Below are 26,829 nucleotides of genomic sequence, written 5' to 3' on the forward strand. Positions count from 1 at the left end.
TTGCAGTGGACTGAGTTCGTGCCACTGCACTCCAATCTGGGTGACAGAGCAAGACTCCGTCTCAAAAAAAAAAAAAAAAAAAAAAGAGAGAGAGAGAGAGAGACAGGGTCTTGCTATGTTTCCCAGGCTGGTCTCAATCTCCTGGGCTCAAGTGATCCTCCTGCCTCAGCCTCCCAAAGTGTTGGGACTACAGGCATGAGCTACTGTGGCTGGCCAATTGCAGACAGATGGAACTGTGGCCAGCCACTTCACCAGTGAAGTCCCAAACACCCCTCTGCAGGCATGATAAGCTAGGGTAGTTCTTATCTTTTCCTGATTCCTGTTCTCTGTGTGTTTAGTGGGGACCACAGCAGGCAGGGTGGGGTGTTGGTGGAATTTGGGATAAGTGGAGTCTGGGCAGGCCTGGAGCTCTCTGTCTGCCTTCTGGGCCCGTGTTGGCTGACCCTGTTGCCCCCTCTGCCCTGCTTTGGCTGAGCTGAATTATTTCTTGGTCCTTCCCTTCTGGGGGCTTCTCGCTTAACCTCCTTTGTTGTCCCTGATAAAGGGGCCTTGTTAGCCCGCACCTTCCCTCCTTCGTCACTTGACTTCTGCCTGCTCATTCTTTGTACCTTAGTTTTAGCGTCACCTCCTCCAGGAAGTCTTCTTTGATTTCTCCTCCTCCCTAGGTCTCCTCTAGGCTCCCACAGCTGCCTGTGTTCCCTGCATGACAGCTCTGCTTTATACTGGGCACAACTTTCCCTCTTTCTTCACTCATCTGCTCTGGCTCATCTTTTGAGTTTCAGCTTAAGTGTCACCTCCTCCAGGAAGCCTCCTCTGATTTCCTCTCCTCCCTAGGCCTCCTCTGGGCTTCTCCCAGCTGCCTTTGTGTCCTCTATCCCAGCTCCCATCACCCCTGGTCACACAATCCACCTCCTCCTTTGGACTTCGAGCTCCGTGTCGGTGGATAGTGTGGCTTTGCTGGGGTCCCGGCTGTGTCCCCAGCACCCACCACACGGCTGGCACACAGTAGGTGCTCAGTGACCCAGCAGCACACTCAGAAACTCCCTTTCTAGCCGGGCGCGGTAGCTCACGCCTGTAATTTACAGCTACTCAGGAGGCTGAGACACAGGAATTGCTTGAACCCAGGAGGTGGAGGTTGCGGTGAGCTGAGATCAAGCCACTGCACTCCAGCCTAGGTGACAGAGACTACATCTCAAAAACAAACAAACAAACAAACAAACAAACAGAATTCTCACATGCTGCTGGCAGGGAGAGTGCTTGATTCTTTATCATTATATCTGAGGAAACTGAGACTCTGAGAGGTGAAGCGACTTGCCCAAAGCCACACAGCTGGGAAATGGAGGAGTTGGGATTTGAGCCCAGGCTCTTAATCGGCACCAATGCCACTTCTCACTTGGGACAGAAAGGAAGCCCTGACTCCTTAGGCAGCTGTACGGAGCCTGGGATGATAACGTGCTGAGAGCCAGGGCTACTGTCTGCTGCACCCTGGGGCTCAGTCTCCCCATCTGTACAAAGGGACGTTCCTTAGGTACCTCCAGCCCTGAGACACTGGGTTTTAACTTTAAATTTCTGATGAACAACAAATACTTTTTTAGTATAAGTATGCCCCAAATATGAATAAAGATAAATATAAATACCTGCCACCGACCCCTGCACAAACCGCAGGTTCCAGACTACAAGTCCCACAACCCACTGCGGCCTCCCTTAGGAACTGACTATCATGACTTTCTATTTTTCATTCATTCATTCAAAAATGGTATAGGCCACCCGCCGTGCGCCAGGTCTTGTGCTAGATGCCGGGGATACATCATATGCACAAAACAGACAAAAGTTTTTGCCTTCGTGGAGTTTGACATCTACATCCTCGGGAGTTTTAAGTGATTTTTGTTTTTCTCAGCAATTTCTGCCAGGACGACTACAGTTCCCGTGACCCTTTGTGTGTTTGACGGGACTACAACTCCCAGAAGACCTAGCGCGCCAGGCAGGCACTTCCTTTTCTCTTTATCCCCAACTTCCTTCCAGGTCGCAAGGTCACGTCCTGTCCCCACCTTTCGCCCCTCACCCTAGCTCCCCCAACGCCAAAGACAAGGTTAAGAAAGTGATATCGCGAAATAGTTTTTTAAAGCATTTTATTGCATTTTATGACTTGGAGTTTATGTGAAACCTCAACGGTATTAGCCGAACAGCCTGCCGCACCTTCCGGGAGTTCCAGAGTGGGCCTACAACTCCCACAGGGCTCCGCGAGCGCCGGACGGACGGACTACAATTCCCGACAGGCAGCGCGGCTGGCGGGGCGGTTCGCCGCGGTGCCCACAGGACCTCAGGGCGAGTGCGGGCTGCCCCGCGCGGCGCCCGCAGGACCCCGGCGGCTACCCATGCCGAGGTGAGTCCGCGGGAGCCGCCGCCGCCGCCGTCCCGTCCCAGCTGCCGCCCCGCGCGGCCCCGCCGCCGGCCAGGATGCTGGAGGAAGCGGGCGAGGTGCTGGAGAACATGCTGAAGGCGTCTTGTCTGCCGCTCGGCTTCATCGTCTTCCTGCCCGCTGTGCTGCTGCTGGTGGCGCCGCCGCTGCCTGCCGCCGACGCCGCGCACGAGTTCACCGTGTACCGCATGCAGCAGTACGACCTGCAGGGCCAGCCCTACGGTGCGTGTCCCCGGCCCACCCTCGGGGCTCCCCGGGCTCCCCGGCCACGCCACTCCGGCCCGGCGATCCCCAGGCCGATCCCTAGCTCCGGCCTGGGCTGCCCGACCCATGCTCAGGCCCCAGGCGAGGCAGAGCCCTGCCGCCCTGGACCCCCGGGCGCCCTGGAATCCCTGCTCTCCTTGCCTAGCGCCCAGGGACCCCCCGCGCTCGCTCCCACAGCCCCCGGCCCCTGCCTAGGTCTCCCTGCCCCGGAACCCATGGCCGGGCCAAGCGTCCCGCGTCCCTGGAGCCCTAAGTCCCCTCTCTCCTGTCCCCAGCTGGGCCGGCGTCTGCCTGCCTTGCCGAGTTTCTCCCTCCTGGGCCCCCTCCGCCCCTTAGGCTTCCTGGTCCGGGCTCACTTGAGCAGACGCTCCCGTCCTGACCTCCAGCTCCCAGGGTCCTGTTCTGGAGACCATCTGGTTGGTCTCTGGATTCACTGGGTCACGTCCGTGTTCCCAGGCCTCTCGCCTTTAGCTGACTGCGTTTGGAGTTAAAGGTCCCTGCACTGATTTCTGCCAGGCTGAGCCACCCGACGCGGTGGTCCAGCATTCCCCACCCCCTCCCACGGCCCTGGGTGCCAAGTGCATTTTGTCCAGTGCCCAAATTCAACTCCCCTGAATTTTCTCGCTCTAGTCACCGGCCCCCACGTCAAGGGCACATTTGTCCCCAGACCCCTGACGCTCTCTGGTCCCAGTTCGTGAGTCATGTTTCAGAATCTGCTAGCCCAGCTTCCCTGGTCTCCTCCCACGTCCCCAGTTCAGTCCACTCGCCTGGGGTTCCCTTTGACCCCCTTTCTGTCCCGCCTTTGATGCATACCCACGCCCTCAGCTCAGCCTCCTCACACCCACTTCCCAGAACCCCACTTGTTCCATCTTTCCAGGATTTCCTCTTCCCTTTCCAAATTCGCACCCCCTTGCCCTTGCATTCTGCAAGTCTCCCACTCAACAGCCTCGCCCCCTCCCGTCGTGGCCCTGACCCCAGTGTCTAGACCATTCCACATCCCCTTGTCTTTGCCTGGCTATAGCTGTCCCTGACATTCCAGAACCTGGTCCCTGGTTTTTCTTCTTTTCAGCCTGGCCCCTCAGGTCCCTGGAAGTCAAGGCCTGGCCTTCCCTGTGAAGGAGTCCCGTCCGCTTGTTCTCCTGGCCCCCTTAGTTCCCAGCCCGGATTCTCTTGGATTGGTCCCTCTCGTCACATCTCAGGCTCAACCTGAGGCGCGGGGACCCCCAGCTTCTGCCAGCCCTTGGGGAGCCCATCTCTGGAGATGGAACCAGACTTTGGCCTCAGGTCCCATTTTGCCCCAGAGTTACGATTTTTTTACTTAGAGCCATTGTTGTCAACCGAGGGGACGCTGGGTGATGTCTGGGGACATCTGTGGTTGTCACGACCACGGGTGCTCCTGGCATGGAGTGGGTGGAGGCCAGGGACGCTGCTCAATTCCCTGTAGTGCCCAGGACGGCCCCACCCCAGAGAACGATCCGGCCCTAATGTCCACAGTGTCCAGGGGAAGCGCCCTGGGGCCACAGTGGTGGTGTATAAACCCAAGGCCCAGGCTCTGGAGGGTGGGAGTGGAAGGCCAGAGGCTCCTCATGCAGTGACCGCGTTTTCCGTGCTGCTTGGGATTTTCCCGGGGGAAGGGTCCTGACGGGCACCATCCTGTAGAATCGCCTCCATCTTTGCTGCCTGGCACAGGAGCCAGCAGCCACAGGAGGCTGCCGAGCCCCCAAAGCGTGGCCTGTGCAACCGGGGGGCAGGATTTTCAGCGCTGCTTGAGGGTAATAAACGCAAGTAGCCACGCGTGCCTGCGGCTCTCATAGCGGCTTCCGTGGGGTTTCCAGGGCAGTCTGCACCCCAAAGACCCCACTCCTAGAGCTCGAGATACCCTGTTCACACTCTTGGCATCTCCTGCCTGGTCCTCCAGCTCACCCGGCCTCCCTCCAGCCCCCCGGGCAGGTGTGATCTGGTGGCTGCTACACTGTCCCTGGGCAGGTGTGGGCCCCCTTTCTCTCCCCAAGAACCCACCCAGGGAATGCATGTTGGCGGCTCCCTACACTGTCCCTGGGCAGATGTGGGCCCCCTTTCTCTCCCCGCAAGTCCGCCCAGGGAATGCATGTTGTCTATCGAGTGAGCAGATGTCTCCCCGTTCCACGGCCAGACGGACGCCCTCTCCAGCCTCCTAGAGTCCCTCCCAGTTTCCTTGTGTGGCCTCTTGTTCTTCGCAGCCTCCTGACGTTCACCCCGTTTTCCTTCCCCGATTCCCTCGGCCCCTTTTTGGTGGCGCCTCCCTCCCTTTCCCCTGCAGTCCTTTCTCTCTTTCCTCGCTTCTCTGGGGCCTTTGCCCACAATCCTGGGTTTTCTTCTGAGTCTTCTTTTCACTGGCCTCCTCCCCTGTACCCTCCTCCCTGGACCCCAGCTTTTCTTTCTCCTAGTGAGGAAGCTGGACGCAGCTTTCCCTGTATGTGGCATTCGCCCAGCTGGTCCGTGGGCTCCCGGGGTGAGCGGAGGAGCCCATGGGGCAGCCGCCCTGCCTCAGCCTCCATGCTCCTCATCTGCGCCCTGGGAAGCACAGTCCAGCTCTCGCAGGGTAGGCGAGGCCCAGCCAGCACACCCCTCTGTGTCACTCTGGCCGCCCCTGAGAGACTGGGGGTGGTTTGGGCCAGAGCCCTGCCGAGGACAGGCCCTTGAGAAGCCCCAGCGTGCTGCCTTTGAGGCCACCCTCCACCACCATCTTCCCGGTGTGCTTTCACCCCCGGGCCCACTACCCGGAGGAGCTGCAACCCTTACTCGCTGGGGAGTCCTTTCCCAACTTCCTTCCTGCTGCTGTTGAGAGGCACAGGGCGGGGCGGTGCCCTTTGTGTTTGGGTGTGATCTGGGTCTCACTGGCCAGGTGCACAGCACCCCTCTCCTGGGAGTGGACTCTGGCCCTGCCGGGTGAAGGCTTTCTCGGCTCGGTGGCCGTTCACAGCAGGTGGGGCTCGTTGAGCTTATGGCCCATGTGAGGTGGGAACCTTAGCACCCCTTGGAGCGCCCAGCTCCCAGGACCCGTCAAGTCCATCAGACTTGCCAAAACTCCTTCATCTGGGATACAGCTAACTGCAGCCTGTAGGTCACGTCTGGCTCTCTGCCTGTTGTTGTTAATAAAGTTTTATCGGCACGCGGTCATGCCCATCCATTGGCATCTTGTCGCTGGCTGCTTCCACGCAGAAACAGCTGAGCCCAGTGATTGTGCCAGAGCCCTATGGCCCGAGAGGGGAAAGGTTGGCCGTCTGGCCCCCGATAGATAGACAGGTGCCCAGGCCACTGTTCAGGTCCAGTCCTGTCACGCCAACTGGTGACTTCTCTCAGGATGCCCGGTGCCCTCCATGGCGTCCACCACAAGTGGTCTCAGCCCATTCAGACGCGGGTCTGAGGGAGTTGGTGCTGGTTTCGCCTCCGCAGAGGGCCGTGTCCACACTAGCTTGTGGCCACCCGGCCCGACCCTGGCCCTCGAGGGAGGCTGGGGCCACCCAAGGCCATCTGTTCTCCTGGGGAGATGGGCCTTGGCCACAGAGAGCCCTTGCCATTGGGCCCCGAGCGAGCGGGGGCTGGGATCCAGAGGGCAGTGTGGCCTTGGCTGGTGCTGACGCGAGGCGGGGCTCCGATGGGCGGGGCTTCGGAATGGGAGGCCGTGGCCTTCAGGGAGCTCTGGGTGCTGGTGTCCCCCTCCGTTCCTCTGACTTGCTGCTGCTCCTTCCCTTCTCCCTCCTCGCTCACTCCCTATCCCGCCTGCGGGAGCTCGAGGCCCGGAGAACGGGGGTGCCTGCCAGTTGGCCTCATCTCCCGGCCCCAAAGGGGTGACATTCGAGTCACCCCTGGGAGGCCAGGGCATGTGGGGACAGGTGGGGTGCAGGGGAGGGGTGCTCCCAGCACTGCAGGAGCCCCAAGGACTCCCTCGAGGTCTTTGCTGCCATGTCCCTGAGGGGCCTCCCAAGGGCAGAGGAAAGGCTCCCAGCAGGCCTGGTGATGTCAGGCTCTGAGAGGGGAGCAGGGGTGAGGCTGCTGGGCCTGGGGTGCGTGGGCCCCTGTGGCTCCTCCATCCCAGGCCTCAGAGCTGGTTCTCTGTGCCCACCTCCTTGTGCTGCACCCGAGACCCCGCCCATTCCCACCTGAGACCTGTGTCCCGCCTGTCCCCCCATGCACCCAGCTCAGCCCATCAGACACCCCGTTGGAGCAGGCTGCTTCCCTCCCACCGCTTCCCAGACAGCACATTGCTGGACACAGAGCTGGGGACTCATGCACGCCCCTGGCCCCAAGCCCGAGGCTCAGCGCAGGCCCCGGGAAGAGCTGCGTCTGTGGGGAGATGAGAGAATGAGGGTCCCCAGCATCCAGCATCCACCTTCAGAGCGAGGCTGGCTCCCACGGGGACGCTGGAGTCGGTCCTGGGCATCGTGATTTTGAGTGCTTCCTGCACGGGTCTCACACGGGAGGCTCCGGGGCCCGCCCCCGGCCCCCCTGCGTCAGGCCTGTACCCGGCCCCCCTGCGTCAGGTCTGCTTGCGGGCTTTGCGTGGCATTCTGTTGGCTTGTGCAGCGCTGAGATGTTTTAGAGCGTTGCTTGTCTTTTAACATTTGGGTGATGTGACGTAAGAATTGGGATTTCCGGCTTCTGGGGTGGTCCACTGAGGTCCGTGTCCCCAGCTGAACGTGGGTGGCCCTTTTAGAGGGGCCGGTGCTCTCCAGGGTCTTTCCAGGGCAACTCAGGTGGCCATCGCGGTGTGTGGCGGGCAGCAGGGAGATCGTCGTGGTGCGTGGCGGGCAGCAGGGAGATCGTCGCGGTGTGTGGCGGGCAGCAGGGAGATCGTCGCGGTGCGTGGCGGGCAGCAGGGAGATCGTCGCGGTGCTGAGACTTGCAGGGGTGAAGTGGCAGCAAGTGGGGGGTCCGTGTGCAGCTCAGGTGTGCGGAGCAGGGACCCCTGAGCTGCGTCTTGTTGGGTGGAGGACGTTTTGCTGAGAGAGGAGGGAAGAGCAGTCCCAGGAAGCAAAAGGCAGCGGCGAAACCAGAAGCCCTGGCGAGTTTCCAGAGCGGTGACCGTGGGGAGCGCCACCGCAGAAGTGAATAAGCCCGTGATGGAGCGACAGCCCCAGGCTCTCAGCGACGGCCGTGGCCTTCCAGGGAAGACCCCGCCTCGCCCCAGAGACACCATAGCCCAAGCTGCTGAGCCTTCTGCCACCCCAGCCCCTGGATTTCTAGAAAGCTTACGTGTCCAAGGCGCAGTAGGGTGGTCCTAGAGCAGGCGAGCCCGAGGGGCGCTCCATGCTGGTCTTGTGGCTCAACACAGGGGTTTAACCTGGGGCCCATCAACAGGCTTCAGGGAAGGGCCGTCCCCATCTGGGACCCCCTGTAACAGGAGTTGAATCCAGCCTGCCCTTGGCCTATTTAAGAGTTTTGTTGGCACACAGTCCCACTTGTTGGCTTACCTGTTGTATATGGCTGCACTCACCCTGCCTGCAGTTTTACAGCTGAGTGGTTGAGACACAGACCGGAAATACTCACTCTCTGGCCTGTTGTAGAAGAGGTTTGCCGAGCCCTGGTCTAGGATCCTGTGTAGACTTCGGTGTGGGGTGGGAAGTGTGGGTTTCTCCCAGGAGAAGGGGCTCTGCTGTCATTAGAAAGGGGCCGGGCACGGTGGCTCACGCCTGAAATCCCTGAACTTTGGGAGGCCAAGGTGCGAGTATCACCTGGGGTCGGGAGTTTGAGACCAGCCTGGCCAACAGGCAAAACCCCGTCTCTACTAAAAATACAAAAATTAGCCGGGCATGGTGGTGGGTGCCGGTAATCCCAGCTACTCGGGAGGCTGCGGCAGGAGAATAGATTGAACCCGGGAGGTGGAGGCTGCAGTGAGCCGAGATTGTGCTGCTGCACTCCGGCCTGGGCAACAGAGTGAGACCCTGTCTCAAAAACAAAACCAAAAAACAAAGATTCTCAGGAGGTCTGAGACCCAGGGTTCGCGTGGCACTGAGCCTGTGGGCATGGACCCGGCACGCGTTCATGGCCCCTGTGACCCGTTATGTCGGGGGCAGGCTGGGGGGACCCTGGGAGCTTCTCGAATCGGTGGTCTTCCAGGTTGTGGGCTGGGGCTGGGGCTGGGGCTGCTGAGTGGGTCCCTGGCCTGGATCTGTCCCCTCCCGTCGGCCTGGCCACCCGCCGAGGCTCACGACCCCGCCCCTGTGCCCACAGGCACACGGAATGCAGTGCTGAACACGGAGGCGCGCACGATGGCGGCGGAGGTGCTGAGCCGCCGCTGCGTGCTCATGCGGCTACTGGACTTCTCCTACGAGCAGTACCAGAAGGCCCTGCGGCAGTCGGCGGGCGCCGTGGTCATCATCCTGCCCAGGGCCATGGCCGCCGTGCCCCAGGACGTCGTCCGGGTGAGCGTCTGCCCTGCCCCGCCCGGCTCAGGTCCAGAGCTGCGGCGGGAGTTGGAGGCAACTGTGTGACCCTAGGCGGGTCACTTCGCCTCTCTGAGCCCTTTGGAAAGTAGGATGGACTGTTCCCCTGCTCCATTGATCTCCAAGGGGTGATTCTGTCTTCAGAGGACGCTGGGTGATGACCGGAGGTGTTCAGGGAGGGCCGCTCCGGGCGTGGAGTGGATGGAGGCCAGGGATACTGCTCAGCACCCTGCAGTGCCCAGGACGGCCCCGCCCCAGACAGTGATCTGGCCCCAGGGTCCACAGGGCTGCGCAGGAGAACCTGCCTAGAGTGAACAAGACCTGGTAGAATCCAGCAGACGCCCTGGGTGAAGATACTTTTGCAGATGAGAAGGGGTGGGTGGGTTGGGGGAAGCCCTGGTTTTCTGTGAGTGCCTCATGGTTCATGCCGCCCTCTGAGGGCCTGCCTGCCCTCCAGGGACAGTCACTGGGCCCCCTGCTACCCCCTCCAGGGACAGTCACTGGGCCCCCTGCTACCCCCACCAGGGACAGTCACTGGGCCCCCTGCTACCTTGCCACCCCCACCAGGCCAGCAGCCCCCTAAGTGTGTGTCTGCTCCACAGCAATTCATGGAGATCGAGCCGGAGATGCTGGCCATGGAGACCGCCGTCCCCGTGTACTTTGCCGTGGAGGACGAGGCCCTGCTGTCTATCTACAAGCAGACCCAGGCTGCCTCCGCCTCCCAGGGCTCCGCCTCTGCTGCTGAAGGTGTGCTCTGGGCTGCAGGGACGGGGCCCGTGGGCGTGGGTGTGGGGAGGCGTCCCCATCCCAAGGGCTGCGGTCACCCTGGGCTGTTTCTGCTCTCAGCGTGTGGCATCCCTTCGCCGGGGTTAACAGTGGGGGTTCCTGGGCCCCGTGTGGACCTGCTACATCACCACCTCCGGGCTGGGACCTGGGACTCTGCATTTTTGCAGCCGCCTGTCCCCCCTCCCAGCTGCTGGCTCTGTGCACACGAAAGACCAGAACCACGGACTCAGGAGGAGCCTTTCCGATCCTCAGGGGCTCGGGGTTTATGAAACACACGGGCATCTGTTCAGTTCTCTACCTGCCAAGGACATTCTCAGCATCACATCTCGAGTGGGCGGCGTGGGTGCGTCGGCGGTGTCCTTACGGAGAAGGGGCACACGCCTTTCCTCCAGCCCCGTGAACGGGGGCCCTGGCAGCGAACTCAGAGCAGGAACCCGGAGCTCTGTGGTGGGACCTGTGGTGGGGAAAGATGGGAGTTGCCGCTGTGGAGAGTGAGGAGAAAGAGGAACTGGAGAAGCCAGCTGAGGGGCTTGCCCGGGGCTGTCATCAGCTACTGGGGGAGCAGGGCTGAGAAGGGAGGCCAGAGCCCAGGGCCGCAGAGAACAGGCAGGTGTGTCCTGGCCCAGCCCCAACAAAAACAGTTTGGTGCTGTGGTTTCAAGCTATAGTAAAGGAGGCTGAGGCGGGTGGGTCCCCTGAGGTCAGGAGTTCGAGACCAGCCTGGCCAACCTGGCGAAAGCCTGTCTTTACTAAAAAAATAGAAAAAGTTAGCCGGGCGCGGTGGCAGGTGCCTGTAATTCCAGCAACTTGGGAGGCTGAGGCAGGAGAATCACTTGAACCCGGAAGGCGGAGGTTGTGGTGAGCTGAGGTCACACCATTGCACTCCAGCCTGGGCAACAAGAGCAAATGTCCATCTCAAAAAAAAAAAGTTTCATCCTACACAGCCAGATCAGTGGAATTCCAGATGCAGAGTTGGCTAACACTGGCCAGGGGCCACCTGTTTTTGTTGATAAAGTTTTATTGGCACTGGGCCACATTCATTTATGCACAGTCCACGGTGGCTTTCCCAGCAGCAGAACTGAATTGCCGTGGCTGCGGCAGAGACCATCCAGCCTGCAAAGCCGAAAGTGTTATCTGATCCTTTGCAGAAAACGTTCCCAACCCCTGGTTTAGATTAAAAGTCTTGACAGTGGCCATTTTTGTTGTGGTAATAGAAGAGTATAGTTCTGCAGATACCTAAGTATCCTGTTAGAGAAGAAGGAAAGAGGAGTCGTCTTCTTTTTTTTTTTTTTTTTCTTTTATGAGACAGAGTCTCACTCTGTTGCCCAGGCTGGAGTGCAGTGGCACAATCTTAGCTCACTGCAACCTGAAGGAGGAATCTTCTACTTGGTGGAGTATTATGCAGCTGGTAAAAATGATGTTGAGGGCCAGGCAAGGTGGCTCACGCCTGTTGTCCCAGCACTTACGGAGGCTGAGGCAGGAGGATCGATTGAGGGCCTGGAGTCCAAGATTAGCCTGGGCAATATAGCAAGACCCTTGTCTCTACAGAAAATTTAAAAAAGCCAGGTGTGGTGGTGCATGCCTGTAGTCCCAGCTGCTCAGGAGGCTGAGGTGGGAAGATCACTTGAACCCTTGAACCTGGGAGGCAGAGGTTGCAGTGAGCTGAGATCTTGCCATTGCACTCCAGCCCGGGTGACAGTACGATACTCCGACTTGAAAAAAAAAAAAATTACAGAGAGTTCCCAGGAGCATGCTTCCCCCAGTGATCATATCTTTTTGTTTTGTTTTGTTTTGTTTTTTTGAGACGGAGTCTCGTTCTGTCACCCAGACTGGAGTGCAGTGGCACAATCTCGGCTCACTGCAAGCTCCACCTCCCGGGTTCGCGCCATTCTCCTGCCTCAGCCTCCAGAGTAGCTGGGACTACAGGTGCCCACCACCACGCCCAGCTAATTTTTTGTATTTTTAGTAGAGACGGGGTTTCACCGTGTTAGCCAGGAGGGTCTCGATCTCCTGACGTCGTGATTCGCCCGCCTCGGCCTCCCAAAGTGCTGGTATTCCAGGTGTGAGCCACCGCGCCCGGCCGATCATATCTTACATACCTATGATGATTGTGTTTTCATTTTTATTTTATTCTTTCTTATTATCTTTTATTTTATTTCAAAAGATTGTATTTTTAGGCCAGGCACAGTGGCTCATTGCCTGTAATCTTAGCACTTTGGGAGGGTGAGACAGGAGGATCGCTTGATCCTGGGAGGTAGAGGCTGCAGTGAGCCATGTTTGCGTCACTGTACTCCAGCCTGGGTGACAGCATGAGACCCTGTCTCAAATTAAAAAAAAAGTTGTGTTTTTAAAATGCTTTAAAGCACAGAAGTGCGGACTCAAAGTTGTGTGAACTCACAGGCATTTTCGGGCAGGTCCTGGCCCTAAGTCCCTAAGTGAACAGCTGTTATTGAGGGCCCGGGAGGAAAGGATCAGAATGGCATGGAGGAGAAATTCCCCAGCAGAACGTTCCAGAAAGGAGATGTGAATAATTTCGAGAGAAGGTTGTCCTAGGGGGAGCACGGGCATCCTGTGGTATCGAAATCTGCTGGTCACGTCCCCACACCCGGCTGGTTGGCTCTGCCCGAGCCCCCAACCTGGGGTGTCAGTGCTGGGGATGCCCCCTGGCTGGGGCCCTGGCTGGGCCAAGGCTGATGCGCCCTCTCCCTCTCCCTAGTACTGCTGCGCACGGCCACTGCCAACGGCTTCCAGATGGTCACCAGCGGGGTACAGAGCAAGGCCGTGAGTGACTGGCTGATTGCCAGCGTGGAGGTGAGTGCCGCCTGCCCCGGAGCCAGCCCCACGTCCCCAGGGGTTCCTGCCATCCGCCTGGCTCCCCGGCTCGGCCGTACTAGAGGGGAGCCGCTGATGGGAAACTGGAGTCGGATCGCCCCCCTGCCTGGCTGAAAACCTCCTGTGGCTCCGCTGGCAGCTGCAGGAACCCAAACTCCTCACATGGCCGGGGAGTCGCTCTGTGGAGTGCCCAGGCCCCTGCCAGCCCCCGGCCCATCTCCTTCCTTCCATCATGGACCCCCACACACCAAGCCGCTGCCTCCCACCCCAGGGCCTTTGCACCGGCTGCCCCTCCCAGGAAGCCCCCTCCAGGCTGCAGTGTCGCCAGCCCCCTCTCATCACATAACCTCACCCGTCAGCCCAGACGCTGCGTCCTCACAGACCCTTCCGAGCACCCCGGGATATCAGCAGAGTCAAGAGAGGGTGGGGAGCTGCCGGTGCGGAAGTAGCCTCTCGGATCATCAGGGCAGATCCAGAGGGTGAAGCCTGTGTCGCTGCTGCTGCAGCACTGGCAGGGGCCTTAAAACCCGAGGAAGCACCCACCGACTCCTCTAGCATTTCCCTGCGGGACGGCGCCGGTGAGGGGTGCAGATGAGTCCACACAGATGAGGGGTTGCCTCACTGTCGGGGGAGCCCTGAACAAGACGTGCTTGCTGTTTTGGGGACCCAGGCCTTGTTGGGGGGTGCCCGAGTGGAAAAGCAGCGGCTTAGGCCGGGGTGGGGAAAGTGTCCTGGAGGCCCCGGCTCCCCATAGACAGGCCTTGGCGGAGGAGCCCTGGGGTTTGTCGATGGCGGCTGTTCTGTTTGTTCCTGTTGGATTGTACTGTGGGCCCGGGAGGCGCGTCCTATTCCCAGCGCCAGTTAGTGTGCAGTGAGACCCGGTAGCCTGGCCTGCGTCACTCCACAGTGGCACAGGCGCTGGGCTCCGCATCCCATGGGGCCATGTCGATTCCCTTTCCCCTGGCTGTGCCCTTTCTCCTGTGAGCAGAGCCCTCTTGGCAGCTGGGCTTTGAGTTCAGCCGTTGAAGGATCTCCAAGTGGAAAAGCATGTTGCAAAAACAGCAAGTAGACTCCCACAGCCAGACGGGGAGTCCCCAGGCCACAGCCGGCCCTCTACCTGCTTTTGTAAATAAAGTTTTTGCTTGTTTGTTTTTGTTTTTTGAGACAGAGTCTCTCTCTGTCACCCAGGCTGGAGTGCAGTGGCGCGATCTCTGCTAACTGCAACCTCCGCCTCCCAGGTTCAGGCGATTGTCTTGCCTCGGCCTCCCGAGTAGCTGGGATTACTGTCATGTGCCACCACGCCCAGCTAATCTTTTGTAATTCTTTTTTTTTTTTTTTTGAGATGGAGTTTCGCTCCTGTTGCCTAGGCTGGAGTGCAATGGTGCGATCTCAGCTCACTGCAACCTCCGCCTCCTAGGTTCAAGCGATTCTCCTGCCTCAGCCTCCTAAGTAGCTGGGATTACAGGTGCCCGCCACCACGGCCAGCTAATTTTTGTATTTTTGGTAGAGACGGGGTTTCACCATGCTGGCCAGGCTGGTCTGGAACTCCTGACCTCAGGTGATCTACCCGCCTTGGCCTCCCAAAGTGCTGGGATTACAGGCGTGAGCCACCGTGCCGGGCTGTGTAAATAAAGTTTTATGGCACACAGCCATGCTGATGCATGTGCAAGCCGTCCATGGCAGTTTCTTAGTTGTAACAGACACCATCTGGTCCCCAAGGCTGAAAATATCCCCTCTGGCCCTTTATGAAAGTCTGCTGGCCCCCGGGCTAGAGCAGAATCCGACTTTGGTGGGGTAAGAGGCAGGGAGGGGTGCACACAGACCCTGAAGGAACCCGAATGCCTGGCTGAGGGGCTCAGCCCCGTTCCCACAAACAGTTATCCTCCTGAGGGGCTCAGCCCCGTTCCTATAAAAACTTAACCTCCTGGCCGGGCGCGGTGGCTCACACCTGTAATCCCAGCACTTTGGGAGGCCGAGGTGGGCGGATCATGAGATCAGGAGATCAAGACCATCCTGGCTAACATGATGAAACCCCGTCTCTACTAAAAAGTACAAAAAATTAGCCGGATGTGGTGGCGGGTGCCTGTAGTCCCAACTACTCTGGAGGCCGAGGCAGGAGAATGGCGTGAACCCGGGAGGTGGAGCTTGCAGTGAGCCGAGATCGTACCACTGCACTCCAGCCTGGGCGACAGAGTGAGATTCCGTCTCAAAAAAAAAAAAAAAAACACAAACAAAAAAAAAAAACTTATTCTCCTGCTCTCCCCGATTTTTAAAGATTTCGACCTGAGGGCCAGAGCAGGAGTGGGTCCCTGTTCCCGGCTCTACCTCCTCCCTGGAGGAGCTCCCTGGGGCTCCCAGAGTCAGAGGCTGGCACCTCCTGTGGTCCTCAGTGCTGAGGCCGATGCTGGCACCCAGCGGACGGGCCCCACGTGGCCCAGAGGGGAGGGGTCTCCAAGCCCCACACACGGGTCACCTGCCCCAGGAACAGCCAGGCCATTCCCCTGCTCTCTATCCACAGGGGCGGCTGACGGGGCTGGGCGGAGAGGACCTTCCCACCATCGTCATCGTGGCCCACTACGACGCCTTTGGAGTGGCCCCCGTACGTATGTGTGTCCCCATTCCCCCCACCCCACAGGGCTTGGATTCTGGCTCCAGTCCAGTGCCGAGGCAAAGCGCCTGTAGGGGATGGCGGCCAGGGTCAGCGGCTCTCCCTGTGACGGCCTTTGCCCGTCATCCTGGTCCCCGCGAGGGCCTCAGGGTGGGTGTCGTGGGGCTGAAACAGGCCCGGCTCTTGCCCCGGGGTCGCAGGTTCCAGGGCACGGCGGTGTCTGTGTCAGAGGCTGAGCCCAGGGAGTCTGAGTCAGGGTTCCCCGGGCCAGCGCTGGGTGCCGTGGCTCCACACGAGGCCTCCTCGAGGCTGTGGTTTGTCCCAGCGAGCGGTCATGGAGCACGTAGCAGAGTCCGCGAAGGGAAAGGCGCGTGCGGTGAGTTGGGGAGGCCAGTCCTGGCTTCCAGGCCCTCTCCCTGTGTGTCACGTGGAACACGCCTCATTGTCAGCAGTGAGCTGGGACGACAGCCCAAAGCACTGTCACCAGCGAGACTTCCAGAGACCCAGCGCCCGGTTCCTATGGGAGCTGGTTCTACAGCCCCTGCTGCCTGGCCCATGCCGGGATTCCAGACTCCGGAGGGAAGCAGGGCCCGTGTGTAAACCATGGTGTTTGCAGGAACAGCTTTGGACCCAGAGCCTGTCCTGTCAGCGAGGGTCGGGGGCCCTGCTGCAGGTTCCTGGTCTCAGGCCTGCGGCACAAGCTTGGTTCTGCTCAGCGTGGGTTGAGCGGGAGTGGGGTGGGGGGGCATGTACCACGGTGTCAACCAGCACCCTGCCTCCTCCTTTTTTTTTTTTTTTTTTTTTTTTTTTAATTGAGACAGTCTTGCTCTGTCCCCCAGGCTGGAGTGCAGTGGCACAATCTCGGCTCACTGCAACCTCTGCCTCCTGGGTTTAAGCGATTCTCCTGCCTCAGTCTCCCGAGTAGCTGGGACCACAGGCACCCGCCACCACACCTGGCTAATTTTTTTTATTTTTAGTAGAGACGGGGTTTCACCACGTTAGCCAGGATGGTCTCGATCTCCTGACCTCATGATTTGCCCTCCTCAGCCTCCCAAAGTGCTCGGATTACAGGCCTGAGCCACCGCACCCAGTCCTGCCTCCTTTGAACACAAATCAGCTGAACCAGGCAGAGTGCGGAGGGTCTGGGCAGATCTGCTGCCTGGCTGAGTGCCCGACCCCTTGGAGGGCCAGGCCCCCAGCCTTGAGAATGCCTGGTCCCGCTGGGCCCACACAAACTCAAGCTGCTCAGAGCAATGCCTCTTGAACTCCTGACCTCAGGCAATCCACCCGCCTCGGCCTCCTAACCTGCTGGGATTACAGGCATGAGCCACCGCGCCCACTGCCTTTCTCTGTCCTCATTGTCCCCTATGAAGCTTTTTTTGTTTTAAATTTATTTTATTTATGTATTTTTTTTTTTTTTTTTGAGACGGAGTCTCGCTCTGTCACCAGGCTGGAGTGTAGTGGCGAGATCTGGGCTCACTGCAACCTTCGCCTCCCGGGTTCAAGCGATTTTCCTGCCTCAACCTCCGGAGTAGCTGGGACTACAGGCGCGTGCCACCACACCTGGCTCATTTTTTGTATTTTTAGTAGAGATAGGGTTTCACCATGTTGGCCAGGATGGTCTTGAACTCCAGACCTTGTAATCTGCCCATCTTGGCCTCCCAAAGTGCTGGGATTACAGGCGTGAGCCACCGAGCCCAGGCAAATTTATTTTTTGAGATAATGATAGAACATAAAGTTCACCATTTTAGAGCGTACGAGTGGGTTTTAGTACATCCAAAGTTGTACGGTCTCCACCTCTAATTCCAGAACATTCCATCACCCCAAAAAGCAGCCCCTCCCCATCAGCAGTCACTCCTGGTCCCCTCCCCAGCCCCAGAACCCCAGCATGTGCGCATCCGTCCCAGTGCCTGTGGACTGGCCTGTTGGACGGGTCCTATGAACAGATCCTACACTGTGGACAAAGTCTTTTGGATCTGGCTTCTCTCACTGAGGAGGGTGTTTATTGTCCCCCTGAATTCAGTGCCACCGAGGTCCCCTTTATATGCTGTGGCCTTGGGACGGTCCCAAGCCATTGCAATGTCCAAGAAACAGTGTGGCCTTATTGAGAATGCTGCTTTAGATCACAAAGGTGCATCCAAGGGCGGGAAGGGCATGTGGTCGGGCTGTGCAGGTCTCTCCACAGCCGGGGCTCGAGGGTGGAAGGGTGGGTCCCACAGAGGGGACCCCGCACAGAGACCAGGGCTGGACAGATGCTGCCCTCTGTGAGCGAATCTGGCCTGGCCCTGGGCTCCAAATTCTGCATGTAGCTTCTCCCGGGCGCGGGCCGAGCCGAGGTGGATGAGGAGAGTCCTGGGCTTGGCGGGGCCCCGCAGACCCCAGGCCATCAGTCGGGGATTGAATACAGGAGGGGAGCGACCACAGCTGCCCACTGGACGTGGCAGAGGGGCTGGGGGACAGCACAGAGATGACCGTGGCTGCTGTGGGCAGAGGTCATGGGGCTACGGGAGTAGGGTGGGGGTGACGGAGAGATGACTGTGGCTGCTGTGGGCGGAGGTCATGGGGTGCGGGAGCCGGGCGGGGGTGACTGTGGCCTTGCCTCTCCCGTCCCTGTAGTGGCTGTCGCTGGGCGCGGACTCCAACGGGAGCGGCGTCTCTGTGCTGCTGGAGCTGGCACGCCTCTTCTCCCGGCTCTACACCTACAAGCGCACGCACGCCGCGTGAGTGCCGGGGTGGGCAGGGGGATGGGGGTGCGGGGGCCACACTGCCGGACAGCGCTGCCCACCAGGCACCTCTGCAGATGTTTCTCTGGAGCCTCCTGGCCCCAAAGTGGGCCTGAGCCCAGGAATTGGGGCGCCTTATTTATCGAGGGCTAAGCTGAGCCCTCGCAGGCTCTGTCTCTTGGAGTCCCACAGGGCCCAGCTGCTGCTCACCCCAGGAACCTGCTGGGAATGCTGTCAGCTGCAAGTGTTAGAGACGCCCGGTTAAGGGCCCTGGAACTAGGGGATCCCCTCAGCCCTGTGTGGTCGGGGCCGGATTTTTCGCTGGGGGTGGGGGCCGTCCTGGGCACTGCAGGGCGCTGAGCAGCATCCCTGCCCCACTCACTCCATGCCAGGAACACGCCATAGTCATGATAGCCACAGGTGCCCTCCGACATCACCCACTGTCCGCTGGGGGCAGAAGCACCCCTGGTTGAGACCCCCCTGGGTTAGGGAATTCCACGGGCCCCCGAGAGACTATGTCCCGTGATCATCTGCCCCGCTGAGGTCCCAGGAGGCTGCACACATTGAAATCCACACCCTGAGTAGGAAGGGAGAGAGGAGGTGAATCCCAGGAGCTGGGGTCCCCCTGGTTTATCCCGTCTACCCCGTTGGGAGTTTATCCTGGTGTCTGGTGTGAGCAGGGGGCAGACTTGATTTTTCCCCAGATAATGAATGCAGGCTTCGTCCCCGTGGCCCTGTGGATGTCTTCTGTGCATGACTCTCTCCTGGGTGCCACCCACTCCATCCCAGGAGCACCCCCAGACGTAGCAACCACAGATGTCTCCAGACATGACTGTGTCTCCTGTGCGGGGTGGGGTAGAATCACCTCCGGGTGAGACCCCGGCCCAGTCACCTGCTCCCGAGATGGTACTGCTGCAGTCATTGTGTCAGCAGCTCAGAGAGGCCAGGGCCACTGTGGCTGAGACGTTTCTCAGCCTTCTCACAGTCACAAGGCGCCGGGAGTCATGTCCTGGTTCAGGCAGGAACTTGGACTCGAACTCCTGGCCTCAAGCGATCCTCCTGCCTCAGCCTCCTAAAGCACTAGGATTACAGGTGTGAGCCACCATGTCCAGCCAAAACTTGTTTTTTTTTTTTTAAGCTGCAGAACCTCTTCCCCCAGCCCCCCACTGATGCCTTTTGAGAAGCTCATGCTGTCAAAAACGTGTGAACGGGGCTGGTTTCTGCCAGGCCTGGGGGCTTCTTGGCAGCTGGGGAGAGGTTGGGTTTCTGGGGCAGAGGGAAACTGGGTTGGAGAGAGTCCGGGGCAGATGTGGGAAGATGGGGGTAGGGGGCGTGCTGAGCAGTTTCCTTCTCTGACTCTGGTGACCCTTCTAATAGCCAAGGCTGTGTTCCATTAGAATTTTTGGCCTGCCTGGGTGGCTTATGCCTATAATCCCAGCACTTTGGAAGCCTGCGGCAGGTGGATCACCTGTCAGGAGTTCGAGACCTGCCTAACGTGTTGAAACCCTGTCTCTACTAAAAATACAAAATTAGCCAGGTGTGGTGCTGCATGCCTGTAATCCCAGCTACTTGGGAGGCTCAGGCAGGATAATTGCTTGAACCCGGGAGGCAGAGGTTGCAGTGAGCCGAGACTGCACCATTGCACTCCAGCCTGGGCAGAAAGAGCGAAACTCCGTCCCAAAAGAAAAAAAAAAAAGAATTCTTCTTCTTTAAGTGAATAGACTTTATTTTTTTGATCTCCTCGTGTCTGTTGCCTGGTCGGTCACCCCGGTTCCTCCTGGGCTCAGAGAAGCCTCTAGAGCTGGGGTCTAACGTGGGGTGGCCCTGCTGCCTGGAGACACTGAGTGATTTGCAGTTGTCATTGGGGGAAGCTCCCGGTATGGGGTGGGTGAGGCCAGGGATGCCACTCAGCACCCTGAAGTGCCCAGGACAGCCTCACCTCAGAGAACCATCCAGCCCCAGTGTCCACAGGGCCGAGGGGTCATGCCCCGCCCTAAGGGGCTGGTCAGGATTTCCTGCTTTGGGGAGACCTTCATACCCTTCCTGGGGGACCTGTGACCTGGCCTGGTCCCTCCTCCACCCCAGGCGCTTGCCCGTCAAAGCTAACACTGGGTCTTCCCTCCCAGCTACAACCTCCTGTTCTTTGCGTCTGGAGGAGGCAAGTTTAACTACCAGGGAACCAAGCGCTGGCTGGAAGACAACCTGGACCACACAGGTGAGCGGCCCCGGGTGGGGGTGGGGGTGCCGCGGTGGTGGTGCCGTGGGGAGGCACGGAGGCCCAGGGGTTGCCATGGGGGCAGCCAGGAGGCACAGAGGGAGGGCCGGGGGCCACTTCCTGGTCCCCACCCACCCCGCCAGCTCTCGGTGTCCTGCAGACTCCAGCCTGCTTCAGGACAATGTGGCCTTCGTGCTGTGCCTGGACACCGTGGGCCGGGGCAGCAGCCTGCACCTGCACGTGTCCAAGCCGCCTCGGGAGGGCACCCTGCAGCACGCCTTCCTGCGGGAGCTGGAGACGGTGGGTGCCCCTTTCATGGATGGGTCCGGAGCTCTGCGGAGCACACACATCGGGGCCGGGTTGGGGCATCCTGTCCCAGGGTGTCCTTGCTGTCCGCCCCTCAGGCTCTGAGGGCCACACTGTGTCGGGGTCGGGCTGGGGTGTTCTGTCCTGGGGTGTCCTTGCTGTCCAACCCCGGGGCTCTGAGGGGCACACTGCGTCAGGGCCGGGCTGGGGTGTCCTGTCCCAGAGTGTCCCCTTGTCCCTCCTTACCCACTGCTCATTGCCCGCCGGGGCTCCAGCAGGCCTTAGGGGGACCCCGGGGGCAGGTGGATTTCTCCTCATTTTGCACCCTCGGGGGTTCTGGGAGGCCCCTGGAGCATTTGGGGAATGGGCTGGGGTGGCCGCCATCCCCGCCTGCCCTCTGCTAATGGCGCCTCCGGCTGCAGGTGGCCGCGCACCAGTTCCCTGAGGTACGGTTCTCCATGGTGCACAAGCGGATCAACCTGGCGGAGGACGTGCTGGCCTGGGAGCACGAGCGCTTCGCCATCCGCCGACTGCCCGCCTTCACGCTGTCCCACCTGGAGAGCCACCGTGACGGCCAGCGCAGCAGCATCATGGACGTGCGGTGAGCGCGGCAGCACCTGCCCGGCCCCTCCTAGGGCTTTCCTGGGGGCTGAGCCACTGGTCGCAACTGCAGAGGCCATGAGAGCCTGGAGGGAGCGGCCCCCACACACAGGCTGCGAGGAAGGGGCCGGTGCGTGGCCAAGGCCGGCTGCACGGTCAGGCCGTTCGCAAGCTCTTCCTTACTGGGGCTAGGGAGGGCGAGGCCAGCAGCCTGAGGTCGTGGCCCCATATAGGACCCCCAGACCCCGTCACCTGTTGAGTTAGGAGCAAGCAGCTCCTGCCTCTGGGCCTCTTCAGGGCCCTGCCACAGCCCGAAAGTCCTGCCTGGCCCCGGCCACCGTCTTGGGGAGCCTGGCCCGCCACCACACCCCGGCCCTTCCTCGCCCCGCCTCCCTCTGGGCACTGTGTCTCTGGCTTCTTATGTCCTCTGACCCTGTGTCCTGCCCGTCTCTCTGCCATCATGTGAGCCCCTGGGCAGGCTTTTGTGGAGCCTGGAACTGTCTGGCCACCCCAGGCACACTCCTGGCCAGTCCTGGCACCAGCAGGTGGGCGCCGTCTCCTCCCCCAGCGCCCGCAGTCCCGGCATAGATCCTTCCCGTTCATCCACTCTGCTCTGCGGTCACTGGGCCCTCAGGAGTGGTTTGAGCTCAGCCATCGGAGGCCTGCAGAAGCCAGTGGCGGGAGGGAGGGGCACATCCCTGGGTAATCGCAGTCCTGGAAAGGATGGAGGTGGCGGTCGCCCACCAGCCAGGAAAGATTGCCAGGAAATGAGGGTGGGTGCACGGCTGTCCCAGCTGTGCTGAGCTCTCTCAAGACCACCAGGGGTCAGCCCAGGAGGGCCACCTGGGATTTGCAGAGGGTCCCAGAATGGATTCTTCCACCAGGACGGAATAGTCCAGTTTAAATTCTGGAAGAGCAGAAAACCGAGTCAGAAGGAACCAAGGCCTCAGGGCGTGAGCCTTACCTGCGCACAGGGACGGGTCAGGGCAAGGGGCCTGGAGGTGTGGGGCCCCCAGTGAATCTGCATCTACATGTTAGCCAAGTAGTTAAAGCTAAGCTTAATTTTTTTTTTTTTTTAAAGACAGAGTCTCACGGTCTCCTAGGCTGGAGTGCTGGGATTACAAGTGTGAGAGCTACCTTGCCTGGCCCAAAGTCCACATTTTAAAACATTGTTTTTGAATCGTGAAGGTCCCGGGTGGATTCTAAGACCCTGACCCGTAACACGAGGATCATTGCAGAGGCCCTGACTCGAGTCATCTACAACCTGACAGAGAAGGTGAGCCCTGAGCCCTCTGTGCCGCCAGACCCAGCCCCAGCCCTGCCCCCGGCCCCGGCCCCACCCCTGGCCCCAGCCCCACTGCAGGGGCCTGGACTCAGGGCCATCCCCTCCTCTCTCCGCAGGGGACACCCCCAGACATGCCGGTGTTCACAGAGCAGATGGTAAGGGGGCCAGGCCAGTGGGTGGGTGGGTGGGCGGGGCCAGGCCATGACTACCACCACCGTCCCTACAGCAGATCCAGCAGGAGCAGCTGGACTCGGTGATGGACTGGCTCACCAACCAGCCGCGGGCCGCGCAGCTGGTGGACAAGGACAGCACCTTCCTCAGCACGCTGGAGCACCACCTGAGCCGCTACCTGAAGGACGTGAAGCAGCACCACGTCAAGGCTGACAAGCGGTGAGGCTGGGGCTCCGCGCTGGCCCCGTTCAGCCTGGGGCCGAGGGGGACCTCCCCCTACTGCATCTCCCACCCCCTCACCCCTGGGGGATGCCAGGTGGAGCAAATACAAAGAGAGGGTGGGATGAGGGCCGGACACGGCGGCTGTGCCTGCAATCCCAGTACTTTGGGAATCCGAGGCAGGTGGATCACTTGAGGTCAGGAGTTCAAGACCAGACTGGCCAACATAGTGAAACCTCATCCCTACTAAAAATACAAAAATTAGGCGGATGTGGCAGTGGGCACCTGTAATCCCAGCTACTTAGGAGGCCGGGACGGAAGAATCGCTTGAACCCAGGAGTTGGAGACCAACCTGGGCAACATAGCAAGACCCCATCTCTACAAACTTTTTAAAGTTTTTATTTATTTGTCTTTGAGATGGAGTCTTCCTCTGTCACCCAGGCTGGAGTGCAGTGGCGTGATCTTGTCTCACTACAGCCTCCATCTCCCGGCTTCAAGTGATTCTCGGACCTCGGTCTCCTGAGTAGCTGGGATTACAGGCACCCGCCACCATGCCCGGCTAATTTTTTTTAATTTTTAGTAGAGATGGGGTTTCACCGTGTTGGCCAGGTTGGTCTTGAACTCTTGACTTCAAGTGATCCGCCTGCCTCAACCTCCCAAAGTGCTGGGATTGCAGGTGTGAGCCATCGTGCCCAGTCTCCATCTCTACAAACCCTTTTTTAAGAATTAGCTGGGCGCAGTGGTGCCCCCTGAGAAAGTGCTCTCTCCCCAGGGACCCAGAGTTTGTCTTCTACGACCAGCTGAAGCAAGTGATGAATGCGTACAGGTGAGTGGTGGCCAGCGGGACCTGGAGCCCTTCACCCCCTACGGGTTACAGCCGAGGGGACTGCGGCCCACGGGGGTCTAGGGGTTCATGTTACTGCCGCGCACCATCCTCGACCTCAGGGACCCTGCTTTCTCCACAGAGTCAAGCCGGCCGTCTTTGACCTGCTCCTGGCTGTTGGCATTGCTGCCTACCTCGGCATGGCCTACGTGGCTGTCCAGGTGAGCAGTGCCCAGGCTCAGGTGGGGCAGGGGCCGCCCGCCGGGAGGAGCTGGGCTGGGCGTCTCCAAGTGCATCCTGGCCCCTGGCTCAGCCTAGAGTCACATGACCTGGGGCTCTGGCCCCGCCCACATCCTCACTCCCTCCTGCTGTGTCCCCAGCACTTCAGCCTCCTCTACAAGACCGTCCAGAGGCTGCTCGTGAAGGCCAAGACACAGTGACACAGCCACCCCCACAGCCGGAGCCCCCGCCGCTCCACAGTCCCTGGGGCCGAGCACGAGTGAGTGGACACTGCCCCGCCGCGGGCGGCCCTGCAGGGACAGGGGCCCTCTCCCTCCCCGGCGGTGGTTGGAACACTGAATTACAGAGCTTTTTTCTGTTGCTCTCCGAGACTGGGGGGGGATTGTTTCTTCTTTTCCTTGTCTTTGAACTTCCTTGGAGGAGAGCTTGGGAGACGTCCCGGGGCCAGGCTACGGACTTGCGGACGAGCCCCCCAGTCCTGGGAGCCGGCCGCCCTCGGTCTGGTGTAAGCACACATGCACGATTAAAGAGGAGACGCCGGGACCCCCTGCCCGATCGCGCGCGGCCTCCGCCCACCGCCTCCTGCCGCAAGGGGCCTGGACTGCAGGCCTGACCTGCTCCCTGCTCCGTGTCTGTCCTAGGACGTCCCCTCCCGCTCCCCGATGGTGGCGTGGACATGGTTATTTATCTCTGCTCCTTCTTGCCTGGAGGAGGGCAGTGCCAGCCCTGGGGTTCTGGGATTCCAGCCCTCCTGGAGCCTTTTGTTCCCCATGTGGTCTCAGTGACCCGTCCCCCTGACAGTGGGCTCGGGGAGCTGCATCACCCAGCCTTCCCCTTCTCCGACTGCAGGGTCTGATGTCATCATTGACAGCCTTTGCTTCGTGGGGGCCTGGCAGGGCCCCTGCCTCCCCGACCCCCGACCCACTGCAAATCCCCGTTCCCCTGCACTCCTCTTCTCCCAGCCCATCCCTCCGGCCCCTGTGCCTCTGCGGCCCCAGCCCAGCTCCCAGGGCCGTCACCTGCTTGGCCCTGGCCCAGCTCCCTGCCCTGAGTCCTGAGCCAGTGCCTGGTGTTTCCTGGGCTCGGTACTGGGCCCCCAGGCCATCCAGGCTTTGCCACGGCCAGTTGGTCCTCCCTGGGGAACTGGGTGCGGGTGGAGTACTGGGAGGCAGGAGGTGGCCCGGGGAGGCCTTGTGGCTCCTCCCCTCGCTCCTCGCCCTGGGCCTCAGCTTCCTCATCAATAGAAAGGATGTGTTCGGGGTGGGGGCGTCAGGTGAGAACGTTTGCTGGGAAGGAGAGGACTTGGGGCATGGCCTCTGGGGCCACCCTTCCTGGAACTCAGAGAGGAAGGTCCGGGCCCTCGGGAAGCCTTGGACAGAACCCTCCACCCCGCAGACCAGGCGTCGTGTGTGTGTGGGAGAGAAGGAGGCCCGTGTTGAGCTCAGGGAGACCCCGGTGTGTCCGTTCTTTAGCAATATAACCTACCCAGTGCGTGCCGAGCAGGCTTGGTGGGGAAGGGACTTGAGCTGGGCAAGTCCTGGCCTGGCACCCGCAGCCGTCTCCCTTCCGTGGCCCAGGGAGGTGTTTGCTGTCCGAAGGACCTGGGCCGGCCCATGGGAGCCTGGGGTTCTGTCCAGATAGGACCAGGGGGTCTCACTTTGGCCACCAGTTCTTCGGCCAGCACCTCTGCCCTCCAGAACCTGCAGCCTGGAGGGGTGAGGGGACAACCACCCCTCTTTCCTCCAGGTTGGCAGGGGACCCTCTTCTCCCGTCTGCCCTGCGGGTTGCCCGCCTCCTCCAGAGACTTGCCCAAGGGCCCATCACCACTGGCCTCTGGGCACTTGTGCTGAGACTCTGGGACCCAGGCAGCTGCCACCTTGTCACCATGAGAGAATTTGGGGAGTGCTTGCATGCTAGCCAGCAGGCTCCTGTCTGGGTGCCACGGGGCCAGCATTTTGGAGGGAGCTTCCTTCCTTCCTTCCTGGACAGGTCGTCATGATGGATGCACTGACTGACCGTCTGGGGCTCAGGCTGGTGTGGGATGCAGCCGGCCGATGAGAAAATAAAGCCATATTGAATGATCGCCACCAGTGTTTGGTCTGGGGGCTGTGAGAATTGGATTGTGACAACTGTTGGGGGTTCATGTTCCTCCAGGGGGTGACAGTAGGGGCAGGGCTGTGTGGAGAGTACGTCACTGACTTGCCCTCTGCTGGAGTGAGGCTCCAGCCTATCGTGGGCCAGGCCTGTGCCCAAGGCTGCTGGGCCGTGCAGGAGAGGAGGGCCTGTGTACAGGGTCTTGTAGGTGATGGATGGACCTGTTTCCTGGGCCACCATCACAAAGCACCACCAACTATGGGGCTCAGAACACCAGAAATCCACCCTTAGTGTCTCCGAAGCCCCAAGTCCAAAGTCAGGGTGTTGGCAGGGCCCCCAGGGCGGGTCCTTCCTGCCTCTCCTCCCAGCTTCTAGGGCTCCCAGCATCCTCGGCTTGTGGCCGCGTCATTCCAGCCCCCACCTTGTCCCTGTCTTCCAAGGACCTCCGTCACATTGGATCAGGGCCCATCTTGCTCCAGGAAGATGTTCCCCCTAACTAATGACCTCTGCCAAGATCCCATTTCCAGTTGAGGCTAAAGGCTGAGGTTGTTTTGGACATGAATCTGGGAGGACTCTGCAACCCTGGATGGCGGGCAGTGGGCTGTGTGAAGTCGGCTTCCAACCCCAGCCCCAGGTTCAGAGAGGTCCCAGCAGGGCACCATACTCGGCTAGCTTTGGTTTACTGAGAACCTACACAGCAGGTGCAGAACTAGGGTTGGTCCCTCCTGGTCAGAAGCCCCGGGGACCCTCCCAGGTTCTGCCCGGTGCCCAGGCCCCCTTCCTGGCCTGCCCAGCTGTCGGGCTCAGTAAATGCTGGTGG

The 26,829-nt window shown here is 60.2% G+C and overlaps 1 protein-coding gene across 2 annotated transcripts, besides 5 other annotated features; it reads left to right on the forward strand.

The window, feature by feature from the left end:
- Positions 1,435–2,317: an enhancer, noted in NCBI's record as "H3K27ac hESC enhancer chr19:3185006-3185888 (GRCh37/hg19 assembly coordinates)". NCBI's record gives its function as "activates a minimal SCP1, AML or CMV promoter by ChIP-STARR-seq in naive H9 embryonic stem cells {active_cell/tissue: H9 hESC(naive)}" and the evidence as "EXISTENCE:reporter gene assay evidence [ECO:0000049][PMID:30033119]".
- Positions 1,624–1,763: an enhancer, noted in NCBI's record as "active region_13731". NCBI's record gives its function as "activates an Ori minimal core promoter by ATAC-STARR-seq in GM12878 lymphoblastoid cells {active_cell/tissue: GM12878}" and the evidence as "EXISTENCE:reporter gene assay evidence [ECO:0000049][PMID:35858748]".
- Positions 2,274–2,843: a silencer, noted in NCBI's record as "silent region_9832". NCBI's record gives its function as "represses an Ori minimal core promoter by ATAC-STARR-seq in GM12878 lymphoblastoid cells {active_cell/tissue: GM12878}" and the evidence as "EXISTENCE:reporter gene assay evidence [ECO:0000049][PMID:35858748]".
- NCLN (nicalin) lies at positions 2,357–26,002 on the forward strand. Of its 2 annotated transcripts, none has more exons than NM_020170.4 (15): positions 2,357–2,641; positions 8,897–9,087; positions 9,711–9,855; positions 12,610–12,704; positions 15,244–15,324; positions 17,950–18,053; positions 20,183–20,271; positions 20,432–20,571; positions 21,000–21,178; positions 22,366–22,453; positions 22,579–22,617; positions 22,689–22,852; positions 23,625–23,678; positions 23,818–23,896; positions 24,056–26,002. In NM_020170.4, exons 1-15 carry the CDS (start codon positions 2,458–2,460, stop codon positions 24,113–24,115), a joined length of 1,692 nt encoding a protein of 563 aa, NP_064555.2. In that variant the 5' UTR covers positions 2,357–2,457; the 3' UTR covers positions 24,116–26,002. The 2 variants fall into 2 exon arrangements, with proteins under 2 accessions (NP_064555.2, NP_001308392.1); NM_001321463.2 differs by having other exon boundaries at positions 22,692–22,852.
- Positions 5,772–6,275: an enhancer, noted in NCBI's record as "H3K27ac-H3K4me1 hESC enhancer chr19:3189343-3189846 (GRCh37/hg19 assembly coordinates)". NCBI's record gives its function as "activates a minimal SCP1, AML or CMV promoter by ChIP-STARR-seq in primed H9 embryonic stem cells {active_cell/tissue: H9 hESC(primed)}" and the evidence as "EXISTENCE:reporter gene assay evidence [ECO:0000049][PMID:30033119]".
- Positions 6,276–6,779: an enhancer, noted in NCBI's record as "H3K27ac-H3K4me1 hESC enhancer chr19:3189847-3190350 (GRCh37/hg19 assembly coordinates)". NCBI's record gives its function as "activates a minimal SCP1, AML or CMV promoter by ChIP-STARR-seq in naive H9 embryonic stem cells {active_cell/tissue: H9 hESC(naive)}" and the evidence as "EXISTENCE:reporter gene assay evidence [ECO:0000049][PMID:30033119]".
- Positions 26,003–26,829: the final 827 nt, after the last annotated feature.

This window comes from Homo sapiens, chromosome 19, assembly GCF_000001405.40.
Source record: "Homo sapiens chromosome 19, GRCh38.p14 Primary Assembly".
NCBI classification, from domain to species: domain Eukaryota; kingdom Metazoa; phylum Chordata; class Mammalia; order Primates; family Hominidae; genus Homo; species Homo sapiens.